Source organism: Homo sapiens, chromosome 3 (assembly GCF_000001405.40).
Source record: "Homo sapiens chromosome 3, GRCh38.p14 Primary Assembly".
NCBI classification, from domain to species: domain Eukaryota; kingdom Metazoa; phylum Chordata; class Mammalia; order Primates; family Hominidae; genus Homo; species Homo sapiens.
The window spans coordinates 65,583,885-65,608,905 of record NC_000003.12 but is presented as its reverse complement, the minus strand read 5'-3'; the positions used below and the strand labels follow the sequence as shown (position 1 = coordinate 65,608,905).

Here is a 25,021-nt window from a genome sequence, read left to right as displayed (position 1 = left end):
GCTGTGTAGTCTTTGATTGTATGAATATACCATGATCTGCTTACCCATTCTTCTGTTGATTTGTTTCCAGTTTTTAGCTACTGTTGTGAGCATTCTTATACAATGGACATATGTGCACAATTCTAGGAGTAGAATTGCTGGATTACAGTGTCGTCATATGTTCTGCTGTAATAAATATTGCCAAATAGTTTCCAAAGTAGTTATACCAATTTGCACTCACACCTACACCGTGTAAGAGTTCCAGTTGCTTCTCATCCTCACCAACATTTGGTATTATGAGTCTTTTAAATTTTTGCATATCTTGGTGGATGTGCAGTGGTATCTCATTGTGATCTTAATTTGCATTTTTCTGATGTAGAATGATACTGAACACTTTTTCAAATGCTCATTGTCTATTTGGATATCCTCTTTCATGAAGTTTTTATTCAAGTCTTTTTCCATTTGTCCGTTTTTTGTTTTTGTTTTTTTTTGAGATGGAGTTTCACTCTTGTTGCCCAGGCTGGAGTGCAATGGCGCAATCTCGGCTTACTGCAACCTTTGCCTCCTGGCTGATTCTCCTGCCTTAGCCTCCCTAGTAGCTGGGATTACAGGCACCTGCCACCATGCCTGGCTAATTTTGTATTTTTAGTACAGACTGGGTTTCACCATGTTAGCCAGGTTGGTCTCAAACTCCTGACCTCAGGTGATCCGCCTGTCTCACCCTCCCAAAGTGCTGGGATTGCAGGCATGAGCCACTCCACCCGGTCCCCGTTTGTCTTTTTAATCGGATTGTCATTTGCTTTCTGATTTGTAGAAAAAACTGGGTTTTAAATTTTGATTCTATTGCTTATTGGCTGTGCTTGCACTGGTTGTCTAACCTTTTTGAGCTGCTTCTATGGAATGGGGCTAATGATACCTGCTTTGTAGGTTGTGGTGAGAATCACACGAGGATTAAGTAGTATTAAAACATTTTTTTAAACCTATTCTTAAATTAGGTGAACAGTTCATTAAGTTATTCTGACATTTTTTTCTTCTCTTTTCTTATGTGCTATTCTCTTTTTTATAGTTGTAGTACAAAAGGAAAGACAGTGGCCGCATGCATAATACGCAGTAAGCCGAAACACCTGATTTGTTCAAAGGAACACTTGAGGTCATATCAATTCTCCTAAGAAATTTTTCTTGTGATGGGAACAAATGAGGACCAGAAGTGAGTTTCCAAAAAGAGAGAATAAGATAAAATATAGACATAGGACTCAATTAAAGAAATTTACTTGTCCAGGGTAGTAGTAGGGAGCACATAAGAATAGTCAGTGAGCTTTGTGTTTTATTTCCTCTCACTCCCTTGTCAGTTTCTCAGAGACTCAGTTTTTTTTCATTTGCAAAGCAAAGATAACAATGCCTATTTTAAAGGGTTGTTGTGAGGCCTAGAACAGTGCTTGGACTCCTGTAAGCACTTTATATAATGGGGGCTGCTGTGATGTGTAATGGTCATGATGGGAGTGAGGATGATGTTGAAGGTGATGAAGATACCACTTCTGTTAACAGAAGCATTGCCTGCCTTTACTGTTGCCTGTTGGAAAGTTGCTTCAGGGGCATATACAATAGCAGTTTCAGGGAGTGGTGTGACCTGTAGCAGGAAGGGGAAAGTCAGGAGAAAAGAATTTTCTTCTCTGCAAGAGACTGGGGTAGGTACCAGCTATTTGACAGGGAGGCACTATTCTTGGATGTCCATCTGCACACTAGATTCATGAGTGTTGGGGATTACCTGGGCATCCCAAACCATATTACAGTGAATTATGTTATTGTTATTTATTTAACATGTACATATATTTTCAAAATATATAGAAAATGTCAGAATCGGAAAAAAAATCATAGGGACTTAGGCAGTTATTGGAGCTTGCTTTAAAAACCCATATCAGTGTTGACCAGTATCTGGGTTTCAAGAGAATTGTCAGGAAAAGCAGTCTTAGGTCAGGAGTGGTGGCTCACACCCATAATCCCAGCACTCTGGGAGGCCAGGGTGGGTGGATTGATTGAGCTCAGGAGTTTGAGACCAGCCTAAGCAACATGGTGAAAACCCATCTCTACAAAAAATACAAAAATTAGCCGGGCTGGGTGCGGCGGCTCACACCTGTCATCCCAGCACTTTGGGAGGCTGAGGCGGGTGGATCACTTAAGGTCAGGAGTTCGAGACCTGCCTAGCCAACATGGTGAAACCCCATCTCTACTGAAAATACAAAAATTAGCCAGGCGTGGTTGTGGGTGCCTGTAATTCCAGCTACTCAGGAGGCCTAAGCAGGAGAGTCACTTGAGCCTGGGAGGTGGAGGTTGCAGTGAGCAAAGATCATGCCACTATACTCCAGTCTGGGTGACAGAGCAAGATTCGATCTCAAAAATAAACAAACAAATAAATAAATAAACATCCGGGTGTGGTGGCATACACCTGTAATCGCAGCTACTCTGGGGGCTAAGGTGGGAGGATTGCTTGAGCCTGGGAGGCACAGGTTGCAGTGAGCCAAGATTGTGCCACTGTACTCCTGCCTGGGTGACAGAGCAAGATCCTGTCTCAAAAAAATAAATAAATAAACAAAATAAAAAAATAAAGAAAGTAAAAGTAAAATAACCTTCAGGGCACTGAGAGGCACGGTGCAGTGGTTGCTGAGTAAACATAGGTTTTGGATGTGGAAAGATACGTGTTTGACTCATAGCCCTTCTGTCCTCTGGCTTTGTGATCTTGGATAAGTTCCTACCCGAGGTTTTGCAATTTATAAAATTGGGACAATAGTATTATCCCCATAGACTTGTAGGGAGAGTTAATTAACATAATACATGAAAAGCACCAAGAGAGGCTCTGGCACATAGTAGGTGCTCAAACTGCAAAAATATGTCCATGTATCTGATGAGTAGAAATGCACATTCTGTGCTAATTGAAATAATCATTTAGTAGGCAGAGTTGAATGGATGCAAAGGAGGAGGGAAGGGATGTTTTACATGTAACTACCCTGCACAAAGTAGGACTCGCCGGATCTCCTCTCTGGGTTGTGGGTAGAAGTGGACTTTCATTTCAGAGTTTGATTCTGTAATTCTTTCGTCAAAATATTTGATGTTTCCTAGAGCAGTTGCAATTGAGATATGTTTCCTATATAAGTAATCTACCATTGAACCTGAGTTGGACAATGTATACTTTACTAATATAAGGCACACTGATGGGCACACTTAAATAGTAAGTGTGATATTGTAGACTTATTTTTTCTCTCTCCTTCATTAACTCTTATCTGCTGAAAGCCCTTCAGCATGCTTTAAAAGTAGGTCAGACACTCTAGAAGGGTCTGGTTGGCCTACAAGGGCTGGTTTTTCTTTTATTGCCAACTGTTAGGCTCTCCATCATTGAGTTTGTCTGTCTGCAGGAAGAAGAGCACTTCTTACAGTTGTGCATGGCCTACAGGAAGCACAATTACTTTCATATCATACTCCCCAGCAAGTATCAAATCTATAATTTCTCCCCCCTTTATTTATTCACTGTGGCAGATTTTTTCAGGAACTCATTTGGCTGGTATGTGAGTGTAGTGTAAAGTTTCACAGGTGAAATTTTTCAAAGATGCACATGGTGAACATGATGCTGAGAGCCATAATTTGTGTTCTGAAGCCAGCAAGAGTCACAACACAAAATACAAAAGGATGATACCAGCACAGGTTCATTGTAAATTGTGCAATTTTAAGGATAAGTGGATGTGGTCTTGTAAAACAGGTCATTTATAGTGAGGTCTCGTCATGCAAATTGAAAGGGTCGTTATGACATCCCTTGTACAATAAATGTTTGAAGTTTCTGGAACTTTATCTTTGTTAGAGCTGTCGTAGAATGGTTCTTCTCTCATTAGCTATCTTAAGTTGCATATTTTCATGGCATGAGTCATTTTCAGGCATAACAACTGGAAGCTTGCTGCTTTTGTGTTTTCTTGGAAAGCCTGTAAAAGAGCCCATTTGAGTACATTCCAAGAAGATGGTCATGTTTTGCACCTTGGAGGGAAGTACTGCTAAATAGTAACACATTAAGGAAAATGTTCCACATCTGTTCTATTTTCACTTCTTGTTGAAATTTACAGTCATAGGAATTTTGTTTATTCCCCATTTGCTGTTTGATTTTCCAGTTGACTAATAAAAGCCAGAGACTTGTCAATAGTTTTTTTTTTTTTTAAATAAGCAGTTCACTTCTTCACACATTTGTGGCAATTCAAGTTAAAATCCAGTAGGAAAATAGCATTTCAAGTTGGTGTTTTTGGTTTCTTTTTTCTTATATGATGGAAATCAAAGGTTCTTATAAGGAAAACCCCCATCTCTATGAATATATAAATAACTGTGAAGTGATTTATTATTTGTCTCTGACATTATATGAAAGTCATCGTATTCCACAAGCCAGGAAAAACATCCACAGTAGCAACTCTGATATCGTTTCTCTGTTATTATTTTTAGGCCCTTGGCCAATTTAAAAAGCATCAGATAAATTGAGGCACTTTTGTTTTGCTTGCCTTTCTCCAGCAGTATTTGCTATTTCTTAAATAATCATTATATATTAATATCAATATATAACTAAACATCATTATCCAGGCACAACTTTGCTGTAGAATCCAACATAGCTTCAAATGTTATCATTGGAAGAGTGTTTTTCATTTTTATTAGTGTCTTCTTTGTCATATAACACCAATATTTCTTGATCCTCAGATACTTTTTTTTTTTGCATTTGGATGTTTTTAAACATAAATGTGCATATTTAATGCCGTAGTTTTCTTTTCCCCTGAAAAGCCATAAATTGAAAGTTGAATCTTATAATTAATTACATCTTAGAACTAAGGAAATTTTGATATTGTGAAAATTACAAAGTGCTATAATGTGAATGTATCACCCAAAATTCACGTGTTGAAACATAATGGCCAATATGTAGTAAGAGATGGGGCCTTTCCGAGGTGATTCAGTCATGAGGGTGGAACCTTCATGGATGGGAATAGGATCCTTTTAAACAGACTTGAGAGAGTGGGTTTCCTTTCTTCCAGTCTTCTGTCATGTGAGGACCCATCATTACCCTTCTGGGGGATGCTGTAACAGGGCGCCATCTTGGAAGGAGAGACCAGGCCCTCAAAAGACAAACTTGCCAGCACTTGGATCTTGGAATTCCCTGCCTCCAGAACTATGATACATTTCTGTTCTTTATAAACGACTGTCTCAGGTATTTTCTTATAGCAACACAAAGAAAGACAAGGCTATTCCTTTTTGTTAGTTCTGCTTTAACTTTATATTCAGGCTTACAAGACCAGCATGTAGGCTTTTCAGTTTCTTAGGGATTTTACCTACAATTAGAATAACTTTCTGTTCGATGGCAGTAATGCCTCCCTTTTATCTACGTTCTATGGTTCAATCAACTAGACAGAAAATTTAATGCATGTTTCCAAATAATACCTTAATTTTTTATTCCAAATAATTGTCAAATTTTTATTATGTAGATTGTCATATAAATTTTTTTATTCAAAATGGAAGCAGCATCGTGAATTTCATTGTCCCCTTTGACCATCTCAACACTGTGCTATATATATTTTTTGGTCTGTTAATCATAGATTATCATTTTTTAAATATTCATCTGAGATCTTTTTCTAATTATTCTTAATATGTATGAACCTGTAGAAAATATATAATAAACAGTATGGAAAGTATTTGTGTTTGGAGTTGTATAAAGGGTATCACACTTTTCTTTGAAAGCTTGGTAAAATCTGTCCATAAAATATCCTGGCCTGGTACGTATTTTTTTCTTTGCAGTAGCTAGGAAAAGGGAAGGAGGAGATAGTTCTTTAACTTCATTTTAGTTACAGTCATTGCTCTATTCACATTTTCTATTGCTTCTTAAGATAGTTTCATTAATTTATTATTCTAGAAAATGAACCATTCTGTCTAGATTTTAAATTAATTGGTATAAAGTTGTACATGGTATTCTCTTATACATGAAAATAAATCTTTTTAATATTTGTATTGCCTCCTTTTTTGCTCCTAAGGTTGATCATATATGATTTCTCCTTTCCCCACTCATGGTCCTATTTGCCAAAGGTTTTTCTATTTTAATAGTGCTTCCCTAGAAACAGTTTTTGTCTCTATTTTTTCCTTATTGCCAATAGTGTCCAGTATAAATTTCTACCTTAATTTCATTATTTCTTCTTTCTACCTTTTAAAAATAGTTTTATTGAAATATAGTTCCCATACTACATAATTGACCTATTTTTAAAAATCATTATTTTTTAGTTTATTCTCAAGGTGTACAACTGTCACCACAAAATTATAGAATGTTTTTATCACCCCGAGAAAGAAACCCTATATGCATTAATAGTCACATCCCATTTCCTTCTAACTCCCACAGCTATAGGTAACTTCTGATTTACCTTCTGTCTCTATACATTCACCTATGGTGTAGATTTCATATAAATGGAATAACACAATATGTGACATGTTGTGTCTTCTTTTACTCAGCGTGATGTTTTCAGGTTTATCCATGTCGTATCAGTATTTCATTCCTTTTTATTGCCCAATAGTATCCTCTCATATGGGTGTGCCACATTTTATTCATTCATCAGTTAGTGAACATTTGAATTATTTCACTTTTTGGCTATTATGAGTAATAATGCTGCTATAACATTCATGTATATGTTTTTATGTGGATGTATGTTTTTATTTCTCTTGGCTGTATACTGAGGGAATCATTTGGTCATATCATAAATTTAACTTTTTGAGAAACTGCCAGACTGTTTTCCAAAGTGGCTAAACCATTTTATATTAGCATACAGGACACTTCCAATTATCAACATCGTTACTTACTTGTCCTTTTGATTATAGCCATTTTAGTGGGTATGAATGGGATGTCATTGTGGTTTTGATTTGTTGAGCATCTTCCCATATGCTTGTTGGCCATCTGTGTATTGTCTTTGGAGAAATGCCTATTGAATTCCTTTGCCTATTTTTAATTGGATTATTTGTCTTTTTATTGTTTAGTTGTAGAAGTTTTTCACATATTCTGGATACAAGGACCTTATCAGATAAATGCTTCACCAGTATTTTTTTTCTTTCCATGGGTGTCTTTTCACTAACTTGGTGATATTGTTTTCAGCACAAAAGTTTTAAATTTTAATACACTCTAATCTGTCTAATTTCTGTTTTTTTTTTATTTGTGCTTTTGGTGTCACCCAGGATAAAAAAGATTTACTGCTTTTTTATCTTACTCTTAAAAGAGTTTTATAATTTTAGGTCCATGGTGCATTTTGAATTAATCTTTGTGTTTGGTGTGGAGGTGGGGGTCCAACTTCATTCTTTTGCATGTGGATATCCAGTTGTCCCAACACTGTTGAATTTTCTACTTTTGTTTTTTAATTTATTTCATTTTAACTTTTACAGCATCATGCATAGAAAGCATAATTAATTTCTGTCTCTCTTATTCTCTAATAAATGCATTTAAGGCTATAATTTCCTTCTGTGTGGGCATATGGGTACATCCTGCAGATTTTATTATGAATTTTTGCTTTCCCTTTGACTGTTAATGGCTGTTCTTACTACATTTTAGTCAGTGAATGTGGCCTGTGTTATGTGAGTTCATATTTTATCCAAAGGACATTTCTATTAAAAAAACAAACAAACTATAAAACCCCTTTCTGACCCCATGGATATATTCTGCCTCTTTATTATATCCAACAGAGCTATATGCTTGGTATGTGCTCAATAAATATTTGTGGAAAAACATATGCAGAGCAAGCATTTAGAGGGAATCCACACCTAAGAGTTAGCGTGTTGATGTGCCAGTAATAATACTTAGTCAGCACTTTCTCTGTGCCGGGAACTCAGATCTAAGTACCATGCCCTCTATTCACCCAGTTAGTCTTCATCACAGTTCCATGAGGCAGGAACTCCTTTTACTCTCATTTTACAGGTGAAAAAGTAGAGTCATTGTAAGGTCAAGTTTGCCCAGTGGTTCACACTGAGAAAGCCAGAGGTGGGGTTTTGAACTGGTCTAGCCCCAGATCCCACTCTCATAACCAGTATGTTCTACTGCCTCGCAAGTGGTCACTTTTCCACAGCATTTATTGTGATTCCTAAACATTTCTCTAATTACTTTCAATGTGTTCAGTGAGAGAAACTCTTGGCCTTTTTCTCACAGTTATTTCTCAAAAATTGCCAGTAAAGAAGTGTCTACATTTCACTGCCTCTCTAAACTGTGCTCTCAAGGCACTGCAGCCATAGCTTGCCCTTGGCTCTATAAGCCAGGCGCCCATGAAGCTGGCTAGCCCAGGACCTACTGGTTTTAATTTTGTGTGTGCGACAAAAGAGACTTTAAAAGAAATGCAACTAAGCATCTCTCCTGGCTTCTGCTGGAGACCACACAAGCTGGGAGAGCCTTGGTTTTTGAGATTGAGTGTGTCAAGATACTACACCTCTGAGAAAAACCAAGTAGATTTTCATGGACTCTTTTTCCTGTGCTTCTCTTGCACATAGAGAAACCTGGTCTTTGGAGCTCTGATTGAAAATAATTTGTTATTATTAGGGATATTTCCTAACCAAAATGACGGCTATTTTTCTTTCCCTATTGAAGACTGGAAAGCTACATCCTTGAATACTTATTGAATAAAAGTTCCCTTCTTTCTCTCATAAAAAGAATGCCTTTTGTATTTTTGTTCCCTTCAGGGAAGTCTCTATGCAGATTCCTTGCAAAAGAGCAATTTAATTTGTACTGTACAATCATTTTCTTGTGGAAAACTAATAAAATACAAATTCCATTTTTCAGCATTAGCTTGTGGCAAAAGGCTTTTGAAAGTTTTATGTAGTATCTGCTTTTCTTTTTCCATTTTTAAAAATAATGATTGAGAGGAAAAGTGATGTAAATGCTCGTATGTATTATGTACATGGTTGATAAAGTATTCCCTTAAGTTTATTGTTTCTCTCAAACAAAATAGGTAAGCAAATACTTTGCATGTAACTCTTAAGGCCTTTCACCTTCCTGCAAGTAGATGTGAATCAAGAATGAAGCCAGCGAATCTGTGTTTCTTCCGAGACATCTTACTCGCTTTTTTCTGGCAGGTCCAGGATGTCTAGGGTTCTGGTGTTTGCATTTCACTAATTGAAGCCCTGGGAGCTGTTCCATTTTGCAGGTCCCCTCAGTAGTAGAAGATGAACACTTTCATTTGGTTGAGATGTTTTATATAGAAACAATCATAATAGTAGCAGTAGTGATAGGTGACATTTAGTGAGCACCTGTTATGTATGGTGAACTGTACCAAGCACTTTGTATGTGTGATCTGTATAACAAGTAGAGAGTTTTTGTTCCATTTTGTACACCAGGGGAAACAGGCAAGTAATTATCTACAGTCACACAGCTGGAAAATGGAAAGATGGAGTTGGAACCTAGTGAGTCTGACTCCAGTATTGAGTCTTTTGACCACAGTGAGTGACTAGAAGGAAAAGGGGCCTTAGACATGCTGTCCTTCCACACCCTGGATTTTTCAGATGGACATGCCTAGGTTTACTGAGTAGCAAATATGAAGGAACAACATTTATTTTCTCATCTGCTATGAAATCCAGCCGATACTGCATTCGAAGGAAAGATCTGTGCTGCCTTGTTATCTAAATGGCCCACTGCCCTCTCACCTTTCTCCCGCACCCGTAAAGCCTGCTTTGCCATCCTATGATCCACCCATTTGTAATCTAGCTTCTGCATTGCCTCCCCCAACATACCCCAGAAAGAGGTATGCCCTTGCTTCCTTTCCCCTCTTGCCCTATTTTCTTGGCATTCTTCCTCTCAGAACATCTTGCAGCCCCTTTATCTCCTCCTGTCCAAGTTGTAGTAATGAATTCTTGGAGGATGCTTGCACGTGACTCTGTAGCACCTGGATTATGAGAAGGAAGGCAGTGGATAGCGTCCTTTCTTTGACAGTCTGGAGGCATTCACTCTCTTGCTACAAGGTGTAGCTTCAGCAATGACTGACCATTTGAAAATAGAGAAAACTTACCTTTCCAAAGCTAGAGGTCTCTCAATAAAGTTTTCTCACTAAGGTGGATGAAGAGGAAGGATCCCTCAAAAGAAACAGGGTGGAGGTGATACCGCCGGCTCTTAGAGAATCTTTTAAAGAGGCAGCTTTGCCAACCATCTGCACCAGAGGCCAGCCTCCCCCTATCCACTATCCTATCACTCCTTAAAAACAGTGAGTTTTAATGACATAGAGGTGAGCAGTAGAGAAGCAGCTTGATTCTGAGTCAGATTGTACCTTTGATTCTTGAAGTGTCAATTCCTTGAAAGTGGATCCTTCAAATTCATTTTCTAAGCCACTCCATCGTCTTTATTTTAACTCCAAAGGAAGACAATTATTTCAAACATAAGAGTTATTATCTATTGGAATTCCTTCCAAAGTTGGGGAAGAGGCAGAAAGGCAGAAGTCAGTTTCATCAGAAGGGACTTCTGTCCCTTGCTCTTGGGAAGTCAGGGTTGTATCCCTAACCAAGAAAGGGAGTCACGCCCCTTCCCTCGCCCTCACCCACCCACTCATGCACTCAGCCTCCAGCATGTCGCAAATGGGGCAACCCTATTTCCCGCCTTTCCATGTCCAGGGGCTCCCACAGGGCCATGCGGGTGATGGGGACCTGACACGCCCCAGCAGGGAGAGGCTCGCTCAGTCCCCGCCCCCTCCGCAGGTGCAGCCCCCTAATCCCCCCGGCCTAGATATCCGGCAGCCTCTAGGAGCCCGGGCTCTGTGATGTAATGCTCTTTTTTCACACTCCCGGCTTAAATACAGATGGAAATTGTTGTCATGTGTTAGAAATGTCGCCAGTAATATAAAAGGCGCAAGCCTGGGCATCTTCTCTCCCTTCTCGCACCATCAGCTGCTCCTGCTGCCAGCACCTCTTCCCTCGAAAAACCGCTCTGTGGTCAGGTGGCCGAGGCGCCCCCAGCTCTCCCAGGAAGGGGTTCGGTCCCACCCCCCCCCCACCCCCGCCTCTCTTTACAGCCGCTGCAGAGCCAAGGACCAGCGTGGTGGGAGGCGGTTTCAGGCTCACAAAGGGAAGGATTAATCTTGGCGATTGGGCTGGGGTTTGCAGGCAAGTACAAGTGGTCCATGATCTCCTCTCGCCACCCCTCCACCGCCCCCTGCCCACCTCTGGATTCGAACGCTCCGCTGCCGGAGGAAGCCTGGGGACAGGCAGGCGGCGGCAGAGGCTCCCTGCCACCGGAGGTTTGAGCTTGGGTTGTGGGAATATCCATGGAGGTGAAGATGCCGTGTGTGGTGTGTGGACCAGGGAGGAGGGGCGGGGAGAAACCCGGCCAGCTTGGGAGGGCCAGATGGCTGCGGCTGCGTTTTAATTCACCAGGCAGGCCCGTTTGGCCAGGCTGGGAGGAAGGGGGAGGGGGGAGAAAAAAAAATCAGAGGTCAGTGGATAGGGAGAGGCCGGGCTCTGGAGCAGATGCCTGGCGAACAATGGGGCTTTTGAAGGGGATGCTGGAGGAAGTGTGGCGCGCGCTTTGTATTGCCTCCTCCGCATTGCAGGTTGGAATCGGGCAGCTAAATTTTAATGAAGTGCATTCCAAAGTGTGCTCGTCAGCCCGGGCTTTTGGAGCGAGGGGCTCGGCTGAATGGGGACTGGGGGTGGGAGGGGGAGGGGGCCGGCGAAATGAGTTCCTGATGGATGGTAAAGGAGGAGATGAAAGCCTGCTCAGTGTGGAGGGCAGGGGAAGGGAGGGGGGAAAAATCAGTACGTCCCCGTGCATATTAATAGGCTCCAGCAGGTGTTGGTAAATGTATGTTGCTGCATTGTTCCGGCGCCCAGGCTGGGGAAGGCAGGGGAGAGGGAGAGCTGCTTCCCCGGGCAGCGCGGTGGGCAAATGCCTTTGCACTTTGGAGGGCTTTGTAAGCTCTCGGGGAAAATTAGAAACGGAAGGGCTGCGATTCTCCTCTGTCCGTTTTCCTATTTCTAAAAGGAAGAATGTACATGCGGAAGGCTTTTTAAGTTTGCTTCCTGGAAATTAACATTTGTATGTTAGAGCACTGTGTTATCTAGGTAAGAGATGTATGTCTGTGGGCATCAGAAAACAGAATCCAGAGTCTGGCTTGCTGAGTGCTTGGGAGCTAAAAGGCTTTTCTCCCTGTCTGGTTCTGTAAGTGAATGGGCCAAACCCGGAAGGCTGGGGGATTTTTGAAGATTCAGGAAGGCTATGCCTCCCTTCCTCTTCCTAAGTCCTAAGTCTAACTGACCTGGGTACCAGGGGGCAATGGAGTGTACAAGGAAGCTGTCTTGTCCACAGTGTTGGTATATAGACTTTGTCTCACACACAAAGGGAGTGGATTTGTGCCTGAACTAAATTATTTGAGGGTATGTATGGCTTATTTTTAAGGATTAGGTATGTTGGGCCCTTTTCTCTTTCCCAGAGTTTACCATGCTCAACACCCTGTCAACTGAGAATCAATTAGGAGACTACTTATGAGTGTGTGCTAGCCAAATAACCCTTGCTGGTTTATAGTGTTGTTTGTTTTACTACTCCTCTTGAATGAGTATTCAGTGCTTTCAAAAGATTCGGACACATTTGTTGGGGGTTTCAGTAAAACGGGAAGCTTTTGCATGAGGGCATTGTGACTTTTATATTGAAAACATAAAAATTCCATATGCACATGGTAACCCACGGAATGACATACTGTCTTTGGGGTTCTGGGAAAATAAATGCATTTCTTAGTTGAGAAAAGCTTGTCTTTTATCATCTATAAGGCTCATACTTTCTGAAAAACTGTTGTTTTTTGATCACTTGGAAGCCTGTATTAATTAGATATGAAGTTGGATTCTTTTCGTGATTTAACTTGCACTGAAACTCGTCGACAAGGCGCAGCTCATCACTTGCCAATGAATTTTAGTGCTGTTGAAAGCTTTAGCAGTTTAATGGTATCAACAGAGACTCGATTCCTCCATTTCTCAACTGAGCAAACAGAAGCAGTCTGCCCCTGTCTCTCAATGCCTTTCCTCTTTTGGCTTTGGGAAAGGGGATGGGGCAGAGGGAAAGGATTCTTGATGAGGATACTCCTAACTCCCCACCCCCACCCTACCCACCCTACCCACCCCAGAGAGTTAAAAACGGAAGCTTACCCATTTGCTTCCCCATGTAGTTTCTTTCTTAGGCTGTATATTTCAAGTTGTATTTCTGTGTTTAAAAAGATGCTTGAGGTTTGGTGTTTGGATTTGTTGTGTTTGTGCTAGAGAGACGTGGAATCGGTCCGTTATTCTTTTTACTCAATTATGGCTCTTAAATCGGTCTGTTCCTATGATTAGACTTGAGGCTCCTCTCCCGATCCTTGCTGAGCAAAAGCATGGGCATGTGTGTTTGATATGAAACCACCCCCAGGGGAGACTAGAGCCTCACTGCCTCTTCAGTTTAACTGTGGCCAGAAGAGGCAATTTGTGAGGTGGCCCCTGGTGTGTCCACTGGAACTACCAACCCTGAGTCTAGATTCTCTAAAAGCTTGTGGCAAAACAGTTTCACATGGGCTTTATTAACAGAAAGGAGCTCTTTGAACCTATACGTTTGATACCCAAGACTGTTTTTGTGATAAACAGTTGTATGGATCTTTGACATTCTTGTGTATAAGAACAGAAACTATGCCCATGAATTAATGGTGCCATAGAAGTAATGACTATAGCTGATTTTACTAAGACACATCTAGCAAAGGCTTCTGATGAGGCAGCCTCTCCTTTCCCCTTGTTTTCTATTCATTCTTGGCATATGGATGGGGGTAGAGGAGTGGAAAAAGAAGACAGAGAGAATAAGATCTCCATATTTACAAAGGAGCTAAACACCGTGCTTAATTGACACCAGTTATTGAAAAATTTAATTGTAATTTCTCTTTGACCCTGTGCTGCGTAATATAAAGCAGGTGATGTGATACCGACTGAAACTGCCTGTTTAATGATTTCAATAAATAAATACACAGACCCATGCATTATTCTGATGTTGGCTTATTAGGCTTGCATGGAATAGAATTTGGGAGACACTGAGCACTGAAGGTAAAAGGGTTTCTAAAGCTGAAAGTAAATATAGAGTTGATAGTACTAGAAAAAGCTAAATCAAAAGACACCCCCCCATCAGAATACTGCAGATATTTCTTTTTCTTTGCAACTGTATTTGCATAACAAAATTCTGTTCATTTAGTAATCACCATTTTCTCAGCATGTTTGTTTTTTCCTTTGAAAAAAAAATTTCTTATGTTGATAATCAGACCCCAAATATTTGAATGTAAGCACATCCCTCGCAGTCATACTGACACCCTCTGGCACCAGAAAAACTGTCATAGCATTTTTTGAGATGTCTGGTGGGAAGAAAGCAACAATGCCAGCCATTAATTCAGTAACTCTGCTGATCTCTGTGTCTGATAGTAGGCCAGCTGTTGATGACTTTTAGGCTTTTGAAGTGTTATAAACACTAAAAATGTAAAGATGCTGCCTTCCTTTGCTTCCTCGGTCTTGTTGACAAGTTTCTGCTACTGTTGGCCTTCAGTAAATTTACATGACTAATTTGGGATGTCAACACTCAGGAAAATTATGACTAAACAATGTTTCTAAATAGTGGGATCTGGGATTTGCCATTTTGTTATTGGTAAACCTGTTTGACAAGTGATTCCATTTGATAAAAATGGCACTCAATCCACTTGCTTTTCAAGAATCTAGTGAGTTGATGACTGATGCCATCTAGATATCTGGTTTGGTTTTGTTTTTTCAAATACAGTCCTTGAGCTGCTGTTGCTGATTATTATTTCTTCATCCATGGCGGTTGACATCCTTAAAGTTTTGATAGGTGGCCAGATTCAAGAATAAAAACAGGATGGAGAAAATGTTACCTGACTTTTACCAAAATGTTTGAGAAGATCTGAGGCATGAGAGTAAAGGGGAGGTCTTGGGCTTGAAAGTGACTCATCAGGCTGAATGTTCTTGAGCGAAAAGATTTTTAAATGATTATCTGACCTGAAAGGGCAGGAAAAGAAAAAAACATATTTCTTTTAATTCCATTCTGTGAGGCTTTTGTTTGTGGAGATTTTTAAATTATTTCTCTTTCAATATCCCAATATAACTATATCCATATAATGAGATATCAATATGTTTCCCGTATTTCTATATCTAGTCGTAAGCACAATGCTTAGCAGGTAATACACGTTCAATAAATACTTGAATGAATGGACACATTAAGAACTTTGACCTTATGCAGTCATTATGAAGTTCAGGCTGTTTCCTAGAGTGCTATTGTAATTATCAAAGCAATGCAAAAAAGTACAACTCCTTGAAAAATCATTTTGAAAATAGAAAATGAAACATAAGTTTGTTTGTATTTAATGATACATATTATTTTCCACCAACCAGATAGTTTATCCTATATTCTATTGGAAGTAAAAAATCATTTAGATTTCTACTCTGCTCACTGTTGAATTGTTCTGAAAAGTTCATACTGCTCGCCTGATTAAAGAATCTCCTTTCCCCCCCATCCTTCACAATCTACTAGTCCTTGCATCTGAATTATTGCACTGGGTATATTTCTTTGCCACAATAAAGATTAGATCAGTGGGAATCTACAAATTTGACAAAGACTGTATGAAATAACTTGGCTATAAGACAGTAAGTGCTATAATTTTCTCATTAATTGTGGAGTCATGCCAAAGAGAGTTGCTTTAAAAATACATGATTATAGATAGTGACCTGAAAGGGAAGCCAAAAAAGTCTGTAAACATTTAAACTCCTTTTTATGAGGCTTAACACTCCAGTTTATGGATGCTTTTGCTATATCCCTTTCTAGCTTGGGACTTTTTAATTTACTACTTTTAATTTTACCTGAAGGTGACCTTATATTGAGAATAACTTATAATATTTGAGTGCCTACTATGTGGTAGGCGCTTGTTAGGCACTGGGGAATCATAGCCCCATCAACAAAATATAAAAACCCCCTGCCCTCCTGTAGCTTGTATTAGAACCCATCTTAATTTACTTCTAATAAGATCAGGGAATAGGGAATAAGGTAAAAATGATTAGTTAAAATGAGATCTTTCCACTATGGGAAGTTTTTCCCAGAAGTTACTGTGGTTGGCAAAACAAAAGTTGGGTTCGTTGCTTGCAGAAAAGTCAAGCACAATGGAAAAATGCAGCATAAAATTACACACTAGCCCTCATTCTTTCTGAAGTCCAACTCTCCAAAAGTAACTGCATGTGCGTGTGTTCCTTTGTTTCCCTCCTAACTTTTCTGCACTAATATATATATGCACATAGCTTTTTTCTTTTTTCTTTCAAAGAAGATGCTATCACACTCTACCTCCTGTTCAGTCAGTAAGTCAATTTCTTTTCCCCATCTGAAATTGACATCTTAATATGTAACACAAATATCCTACCTTATTCTTGGTGACAACCACATAATGTCCCCAAGTATGGTGGGAAGATGGTATAATATGTTTAACCCTTGCCCTGATGGTGACCTGTTAGCATGTTTCTAGTTTTTCAGTATTATTGATAATGCTCTATTAACTCCCCTTTGCATGCTAGTTCAGTTGCACACTTTGTATTCAGTTACAACTTGACTTTTCTTATTGTCTTTACATCTGGGCAACTTTCCATGTCAGTAGATGCATGCCTACTTTATTCTTTCTAATAATAATTGGAACCTACTTTTGTTAGGTTGCTATGTGCTAGGGCTGGCTGATTTAGTCCTCACAGAAACACTAAGATATATTTATTTATTCAACAAGTATTTATTTAACAATCTTTATGTGCTAGGAACTGTGTTCTGCCTGCCTGGTATATATGATCAACCAAAACAGATGAAGATCCCTTATAGGGTTTATGTTCTAGTCAGGTGAAATCAAAACAGTACATGTAATAGTTGAGTGAATCATTTCGTATATTAGAAGGTGGGACATTATACGAGGGAAAAAGCAGAGCAGAGTAAGGGGGTTGAGTGTGGAGATTGGGCATGTTGCAGTTTTTAAATAGAGTTTTCAAGGTGTCAAGGGTCGACCTCACTGGAAAAGTAACATATAAGCACAAACCTGAATGCATGAGGGAAGGAGCCATGTGCATAACTGGGTAAAAGCCAATCCATTGCAAAGGCCCTGTGGCAGAAGTGGTACCTGCATTTTCAGAGGAACAGCAAGGAGGCCGGAGTGGCAGAAATAGAGTGAACAAGGGTTAGAACTATGGGAGGAGAGGTCAGAGTATAAGGAAGAATGACAGATTATGCTAGACATTTTAGACCCTAACCAACCACGCCACCCAGAATGAAATAGGAGCCATTGCAGAGTCTTGATCCAGGCAGTAACATGCTCCCAATGAACATTCACAAAGCCTCACTGAAGGTAGTAGGATGAGGTTTTCCGAAGGAGCGGAAGCAGAGAGCACTGACAGGAAGTTGTTATGACAGGAAGTTGTTATAATCCTGGTGTGAGATTATAGTGGCCAGACCAGAGTAATGGTAGTGGAGGTGTACAAAGTGGTTATATATATTTTGAGAGTAGACTCATGCCTGATGGATGACCTGAGGGGTGTGAGAAAAAGAGAGGAATTGAGAATGACTCCAAGGGTTTTGGTTTTTTGCTTTTTAACATGAACAACTGGAAGGACAGAATAGTCATTTGCTAGATGGGGGACACCAGGCGGGGGTGGGTCATCTCTTAGTTTAAGATCAGGAGTTTCATTTTGGACATAGTGAGCTTGACAGTCAGGACTCTCAAGAAGTCAGTGGTTGTAGATGGTGGAGTTCATGGAAAATTTTGCTGTACCATGATTTAGCCCAACATTCCCCAGTTTTTGAATGATGGAAACGGTGATGAAAGGAACATCCTTGCACACGTAGCTTTGTGTGTATTGTGAATTCTTCTGTAAGTTAAACTCCTGAGAGTGGCATCACTGAGTTAAAGAGAATGCACATTTTAGGATTTGAAAAACTCCCAAATTGTTCCACTAAAAGAATTATATAATTTACATTCTCATCAGCATGTGTAAGCGTGTTCATTCTCTTGTTTCTTAAAGTTTTGCTGGTTTGATAGGTGAAAAAACATGGACTTTTTATAGTCTTTACCGCAAGTTCATGTTTCCTTTGGCCTTAGAGGCTCTGTCTAGATTCTGGAAGATGTAGGAATTTATCCTGTCCTGTGAAGGTTTGCCTATCCTGGGCACAGTAGTGATGTAGGTCACATTTGGTAGGACAGACTAATTGCTTGAGGACTTAGCTCTCTGCAAGGATGTAATATATTCAGCATTGTTCAAGCAGCTAATTAAAGACGAATGGGGGGGACAGCTAAGTAGCAGTTTTAAAGTACATCTCCTTTAAAAGGGGAAATTTTGAATTATATCATCCTCAGAAAGAACAGTTTATTCTGACATTTGGACAAGTTTTAATAGCAAGTGTTGAATTAAAATAGTTGGCACAACCAAGATAGTTAAGAGCACCGAGTGAATTCAGATTTCTTTACAGTTATACAAGGTCAAAGGAGTACCAAGTTGAAATCTTTATGATTTTTTTACCGATTAATCAAACAAATAGTTGTTATGACCCAAATATGTTTATGAGCCCGATATTATGCTGGGTGTTAAAGATACAAAGATGTACAAAATAGCTTTACCCTCACAGGGGAATTGGTGGTGGTGAGAGACACATACATGGCCAATGACATCCCACCGTCACATGGGTTGTAAGAGAAGTATGTCAAGGTGCTGGGGGAGCACAGAGACTGACCTGACTTTGTCTAGAATTCAGGTCAGGGAAGATTTCATAGTAGAGGAGACACTGGTGATGCGTTTTAAAGGCTGGATGGGAGTTTTTCAGAGGAAATGAAGACATTCCTGGAAGAGGACGCAACCATGTGTATATCAAGTCATAAGAGGCTGGTGTTTCTGGGAAGGGATTAAGTCATGGATCGTTGAGTGTGCAATTTTAAGAGTTATGAGACACAGACTCGGGGATGGACACAGAGATGCCAAGGAGCCTGGAACTTATCCTGAAGGTGATGGGTGTCTTGGAAGAGTTTAGGAGAGTCACATGGTACTATTTGTTTTTTTTTTTTTGAAAACCACCCTGGCAACCATCTAAAGCAAGGGTCATTCAAGTAGGGTCCTGAGGTCAGATTTGGCCCACTGCATGTCGTGGTAAATAAAGTTTTACTGGAACCTGGTCATCTGGTTATTGTATTTTTTTTTATGGCTGCTTTTATGCCACATTGGGAGTGTTGAGTAGTTGTGACAGAGACTACACAGCCTCCAAAGCCTATTTTCTATTTATTATCTGACCCTTGACAGAAAAAATTTCCCAACCCTTGATTTAGGGAATGAAGTTAATGCAGGGGGGGTCAACAAGGAAGCTACGGTCAAAGTGAAAAAGCCCAAGCTAAGGCAAGGAAGACAGGGGAGATACCCAATAAATAAATATTTAGGGAGAGAAAGGACTTGGTGAATACTGGAGCAGGAAGTGCAAGGGAGAGGAAGAGGTCCAAGATGACATGCATGGTCCTAGGAAGGGTGACTTAGTAGACGGGAAAGTCACAAGGGGCATGCAAGTGGGCTGTCCAGCAGAGTGTGGGATCTATAAGCCTGGGAGTGGCCTAAGTGATTGTCCAAAACAGCGTGTTTAAGTTTGAATCTGTTTTCATAGTATCTTGTTAATATATAAAAATATAGAAGCACCTTATTTCACTGCCCCATTGTAAGGAAATGAATCCTTCTTGCCATCATTTTAAATCATTTTCAACTATTCAAGTTTCCTGTCTCCCCAGTTTTCTGTCCACATACTGCAGGAAGCCGTCCATGCATACTGTAAACTGTTTACTCTGACCTATCCCTGCTCTGAACCTAACAACATTAGAAAACTCTTTACTTCCTAGATGGTTCTCTTCTTAAGCTAACATTTCTTGTTTCACTATCTAGAATATAAGTTTAAGGATAACTTCAGTGTCTCATACATTTTTGTGTTCCTAGCGTCTGTTGTGAAGTCACAATTTAGGTATATAAATATTTATTTCTTAATTACGGAACCCGATAATCAAATGATGGAGCCAGGCAAACTTATCCTGACTCTACTATCATTCATCATTCGTTCAATAAAAATTTATTGAGCATGTTGTATATGCCAAGCACTCTGCAAGGTACCAAGGGTACAATAATTAACACTTCTTTCCCTTGGGGAACTTTTATTTTAGTAGAGAATGACAGACAGTACATTGCCCTTTGTACTTCCTTAAGTCCTAGAACTATAGAACATAATATTGCAAGAGAACTCAGAGATGTTATTTCTGTTCAATCCTCTCATTTTACAGATACTTAACCTGCACAGAGATAGAATTTGAACTGCCCATCTCACCATTAGAGTAGTGAGACTTTCATCTACATTGCCTAGATTGAAAAATGTGATTTGATTCACACTGAAGGGCATAGTCACTCATTGTTTTAATGTGCCTTTTACATATGGGGAGTAGTTTGTCATCTTTGGTCAGTGTTGATTCTGAAGGTAGCATTTTTTCTTTTTGTTATTAATACACCCCTACCAGACTTGCCTTTGAATGCAAACGCTCCACCTTAATGGGGTCAAATTTAGGGAGGAATGCTTCACCCTTAGAGCAAGTTCTTATCTCATATAACATGCTGCTATCTCTATTCTTGAAAACTGACTATCTATATTCTTGGAAGGCTATCTATATTCTTGGAAAATAAAGGAGCATAGAGTTTCCGGCAGCTTCCCGTTTTCATCGTTACAGGAGTTGAAAGCATCAATTTTCATTTCATGCTTTGAATTGCTTGTAATATGGGTTTTTAGCGAGTCTTTGGTAGGCAGATGAGCCAGCGATTTGGGGCTGTTCAGAAAAGGAGCCTCTAAGGAAAGCCGGAGAATAGGCTCTAGAGCCTTGGGAAAAGAACCAAATGTGTGCTGGAGAATTGAGATCCAGATGGATCCCAACACTGGGAAGTTGAGCTTCTCTCAGGCTTGCCATACATTTTGTAGAATTACTCCCTGATTGAGTGCTTCTGTTGTTTCATTGTGTTGTAATGCGAAGAAGGGAGGGAGGGTGTGGTTAATACAGCTGGTCGGTCGAGTTACAACTCAATCTCTCAACTTTAAAATGGTAAAGTAGGCTGGGCACCTTGGTTCACGTCTGTAATCTTAGCACTTTGGGAGACCAAGGCGGGTGGATTGCTTGAGCTCAGGAGTTTGAGACCAGCCTGGGCAACATGGTGAAACCTCATCTCTACAAAAAAATAGAACAATTAGCTGGGCATGGTGGCATGTGCCTGTAGTCCTAGCTACTTGAGAGGTGGAAGCTGGGAGGTGGAAGCCCAGGAGGTAGGGGTTGCAGTGAGCTGAGATTGCACCAGTGCACTCCAGCCTGGGCGACAGAGCGAGACCCTGTCTCAAAAAAAAAAAAAAAAAAAAAAGAAAAAAGTAATAATAAAATAAAATGGCAAAGAAATGCCATATGTATTCAGTAGACACCATACTTCGAGTATCCACACAACTGTTCTGTTTTTTACTTTCAGTACAGTATTCAATAAATTACATGTGATATTCAACACTTTGTTATAAAATAGGCTTTGTGTTAGATGATTTTGCCCAGCTCTAGGCTAATGTAAATGTTTTGAGCACGTTTAAGATAGGCCAGCCTAAGCTATGATGTTCAGTAGGTTAGGTGTGTTCCCAGTAAACCAGTGGTTTATTGGGACATAACTCCAAAGTGAGTCGAGGAGCATCTGTATCCCAATGGCATTAAGAAAAAAGTAGCAAAGTCTTGGGCCCAGCAATATCTTATTGGGGAATGTCAAAGATTTCAAATGAGCTTCAACCCCAACCTCAAAAGCAAAGCCCTCACACAGCAATAGTTAGGGATCTCGGGGTAATTCACCAGGTTGTTCTTACAGTGCCTCTTCCATAATGGGAAAGCAGCAAGCCTTTGGGAAATTTTAGCTTCTCCTGTGAAGAAAAACTGTGCATCAGCTTTTGTGACCTGTTACAGGCTAAGGAGAAACCTTCATTCGCCCATACCAGAAGCTTCCCTGTGCCCTGTTTGCATTTTCCAGAATGCAGAATGAAGATATTGGAGCGAACTGTTCTGCTTGCCAACTAGTGAGAAGGTGTTAAAAAAAAAAAATCTGTTACTTGCCAATTTGAAATTGTTCATGTTCCAACATTTTGTCATTAAGAATACGTCTTGTAGTTTGGGATGGCTTTAGGCAAAATTTTAGTATTTTTGTGTATCTTTGTATATTTTTGTGTATTTAGTATTTTGTGTATTTAGTATTTTTGTGTATCTTTGTGTTTAATTTCTGTCATTCAAATCACATTTGTTGAAGCAAATTGTATTCATTTTGAAAATTAACTTGCAACAAAAGTTACTCTTTTTGGTATGCAGTGCTCTGAGTTTCAGCAGTTGCATACAATCATGTAACTACCACTTCATTCAAACTATAGAATAATAATACTATCACCCCTAAAAATCAGCATTCCTAAAATTATTTTCTACTGACCATTTGTAGTCAATCCTTTCCACCTCCTCCAAGCAATTATATCCATTTTCTATTCCTAATAATTTTGCCTTTTTTTCTGAATATCATGTAAGTGGGATAATCTAGTGTATAAAGGTATTAGATTTAGCTTTTCTCACTTAATAAAATGGACTTAAGCTTCATCCCTGTTGTTGCTTTTTTTTTTTAGACAGGGTCTCTTTCTGTTGCTCAGGCTAGAGTACAGTGGCATGACCATGGCTCACTCCAACCTAAACCTCCTGGGCTCAAGCGATACCCTCACCACAGTCATCCAAGTAGCTGAGGGTACAGGCATGCGCCACCAACGCCCTGATAATTTTTTAAATTTTTTGTACAGACAGGGTCTCACTATAGTGCCAGGGCTGGTCTCGAACTCCTGGGCTCCGCTGATCCTCCTGCTTCAGCCTCCCAAAGTACTGGGATTACAGGTGTGAGCCACTGCACCCGGCCTGTGTTTTTGCTTGTGTCATTATTTTGTTCCTTTGTATTGTTGCATATTATTCCATTGTATGAATATACTATAGTATGTGTAGCCATTCACCAGTTAAAGGGCAGTAGAATTGTTCTCATTTTTGGGAATTAAGAATAAAGTTGCTAAAGGAGACTTCAAAGACAGCAAGAGAATAGGTTCAGAGGGCCAGAGAGATAACTAAATATGTATTAGATAGGTATTTGTGTCAACAGTGGTTTTCATTTTGCTAGGTAGATACCTAGAATTGAGATCTCTGTGTAGTATGGCACATATATGTCCAACTTTATAAGAAACTGTCAAGCTTTTTCCAAAGTGGCTGTACCATTTTTCATTTTCATCAGCAACATCTAAGAGTTACAGAAGCTCTGCATCTTCACCTGCCCTTGGTATTAAAATTAAAAACATTTTTTCTTTGCCTTTCTAGCAGTGTGGTGACATTTCACTGTGATTTTAACTTGCATTTTCGAAATGATTAAGGATGTTGAACATGTTTTCATCTGCTTATTTGCCATCTGTATATTTTCTTTTGTGAAGTGTCTGTTCAAATCCTTTATCCACATTTAAAATTGGGTTGTTTATAATCATACATTTTAATGCATTGCACAAGCTGTCAGTCAGTCCTGCTCACCATTGATTTGCCTGATTCTTTTAATACCAAGATGATATCTTATTTTCAGACATTAAGCTTATGATAGGAGTTGGACAGATCTGGGTTTATATCTTGGCTCTGTCCTTGACTGTCTGAATGACCCTGGCAAATCATTTGACCTCTGTAAGGCTCAGTTACCTCATCTATAAATGGTCTTAATGACTAATTGCTGATGTTGTTAGGATTAAATGAGTCCCTCACATAGAACCTGAAACATGATAGGCATTCAGTGAATGGTAGTTCTTATTACACATCAATAAGTCTTACTGACTTAGGTGAATCAATTTGGCCCGTCTGCCTTTCTCACAATGGATATGAAGGTCCCTGAATGCGGGTCCTTGTTGGGTTCAGTTTCCCATTATAGCACCAGTGTCTAGCACAGTACCTGGTACAAGAAAGATTTAAATGAACTGGTCGAATGGATAAATGAATGAGATAAAAATGAGTACTGTTATACTTGACTTGGCAAGAATATCACAAATATAGTTTTGCGAGGCACTATCCTGAATCTAGAAATGTTTGTTGAACTATATCTTTATTACATTTTCCATTTATTTTAGTGCTGTAGTCATTGATAATCTTTGTACCACACACTTCAAATTTATTTTTAGGTAGACTGAGGGCATAAAGATGTGAGGATGTGTTGTACTTGCTTCCTTCCTTCTGCTTTTATATGTTTTTTCAAAGGCCAAAAGAGCTGTGACCTGTGTCTTGTTCCTAGGTTTCTCGTCCACTTGAATGTGAAATCTTTGAGTAATTGCTAAGTAAATCAATGGCTTCCCAGCTTTGTGTCAAACACTGCTTATCGCTCAGGTCTACTGAGGTTGCTGCCAGTTGTGTCTTGGCTGTTTTTAGGATAGTGGGTATGTTGTAGTCTGGTTTTTTTCTTTCTCCAAGAAACCAGGCCAATAGATATAGCATCTGGGTTCCTATAAGCTGACCCTATTTTAAAGAAATTGCTGACTTTGGCAGGGTACTGTCAGAGCCTCACCAATTCCAGCATTGGCCTCCTGAAAACCATTGTTCCAACTGGTCTCTGCTGAGTCAGCTGTCAGAATTAGGCCAAAGTAGCTCATTCTGTAGGCTGGGCAATGCTTGATAACAACCTTCCATGGAAAGGAAAAAAATTCACTTTAAGCCAGTTTGCCTTTTTTTTTTTTTTTTTTTTCAAGAGTAGATTTTTGAGGCCCTGACTAATGGAAATAGGGGTAGAGAATGTCAGAGTCTGGATGTGCTGTGATGTGTTAATTATTATTTTATTGCTATGAACTTCACACCACTGTCACTGTGGAAAGTTCTCCAGATTGAACTGCCTTTCATATTCTTGTGATCTGTTTCACCTTTGAAAGACTAGTAGAGGTCACAGTCTC

At 39.7% G+C, this 25,021-nt stretch overlaps 1 protein-coding gene across 6 annotated transcripts in view, besides 1 other annotated feature; it reads left to right on the top strand.

The window, feature by feature from the left end:
• The window catches only part of MAGI1 (membrane associated guanylate kinase, WW and PDZ domain containing 1), a 685,393-nt gene that overhangs the window by 430,013 nt on the left and 230,359 nt on the right, over window positions 1-25,021 (top strand). The gene's annotated exons all lie outside the window — the stretch shown is intronic.
• Window positions 10,401-10,952: an enhancer, noted in NCBI's record as "NANOG-H3K27ac-H3K4me1 hESC enhancer chr3:65583629-65584180 (GRCh37/hg19 assembly coordinates)". NCBI's record gives its function as "activates a minimal SCP1, AML or CMV promoter by ChIP-STARR-seq in primed H9 embryonic stem cells {active_cell/tissue: H9 hESC(primed)}" and the evidence as "EXISTENCE:reporter gene assay evidence [ECO:0000049][PMID:30033119]".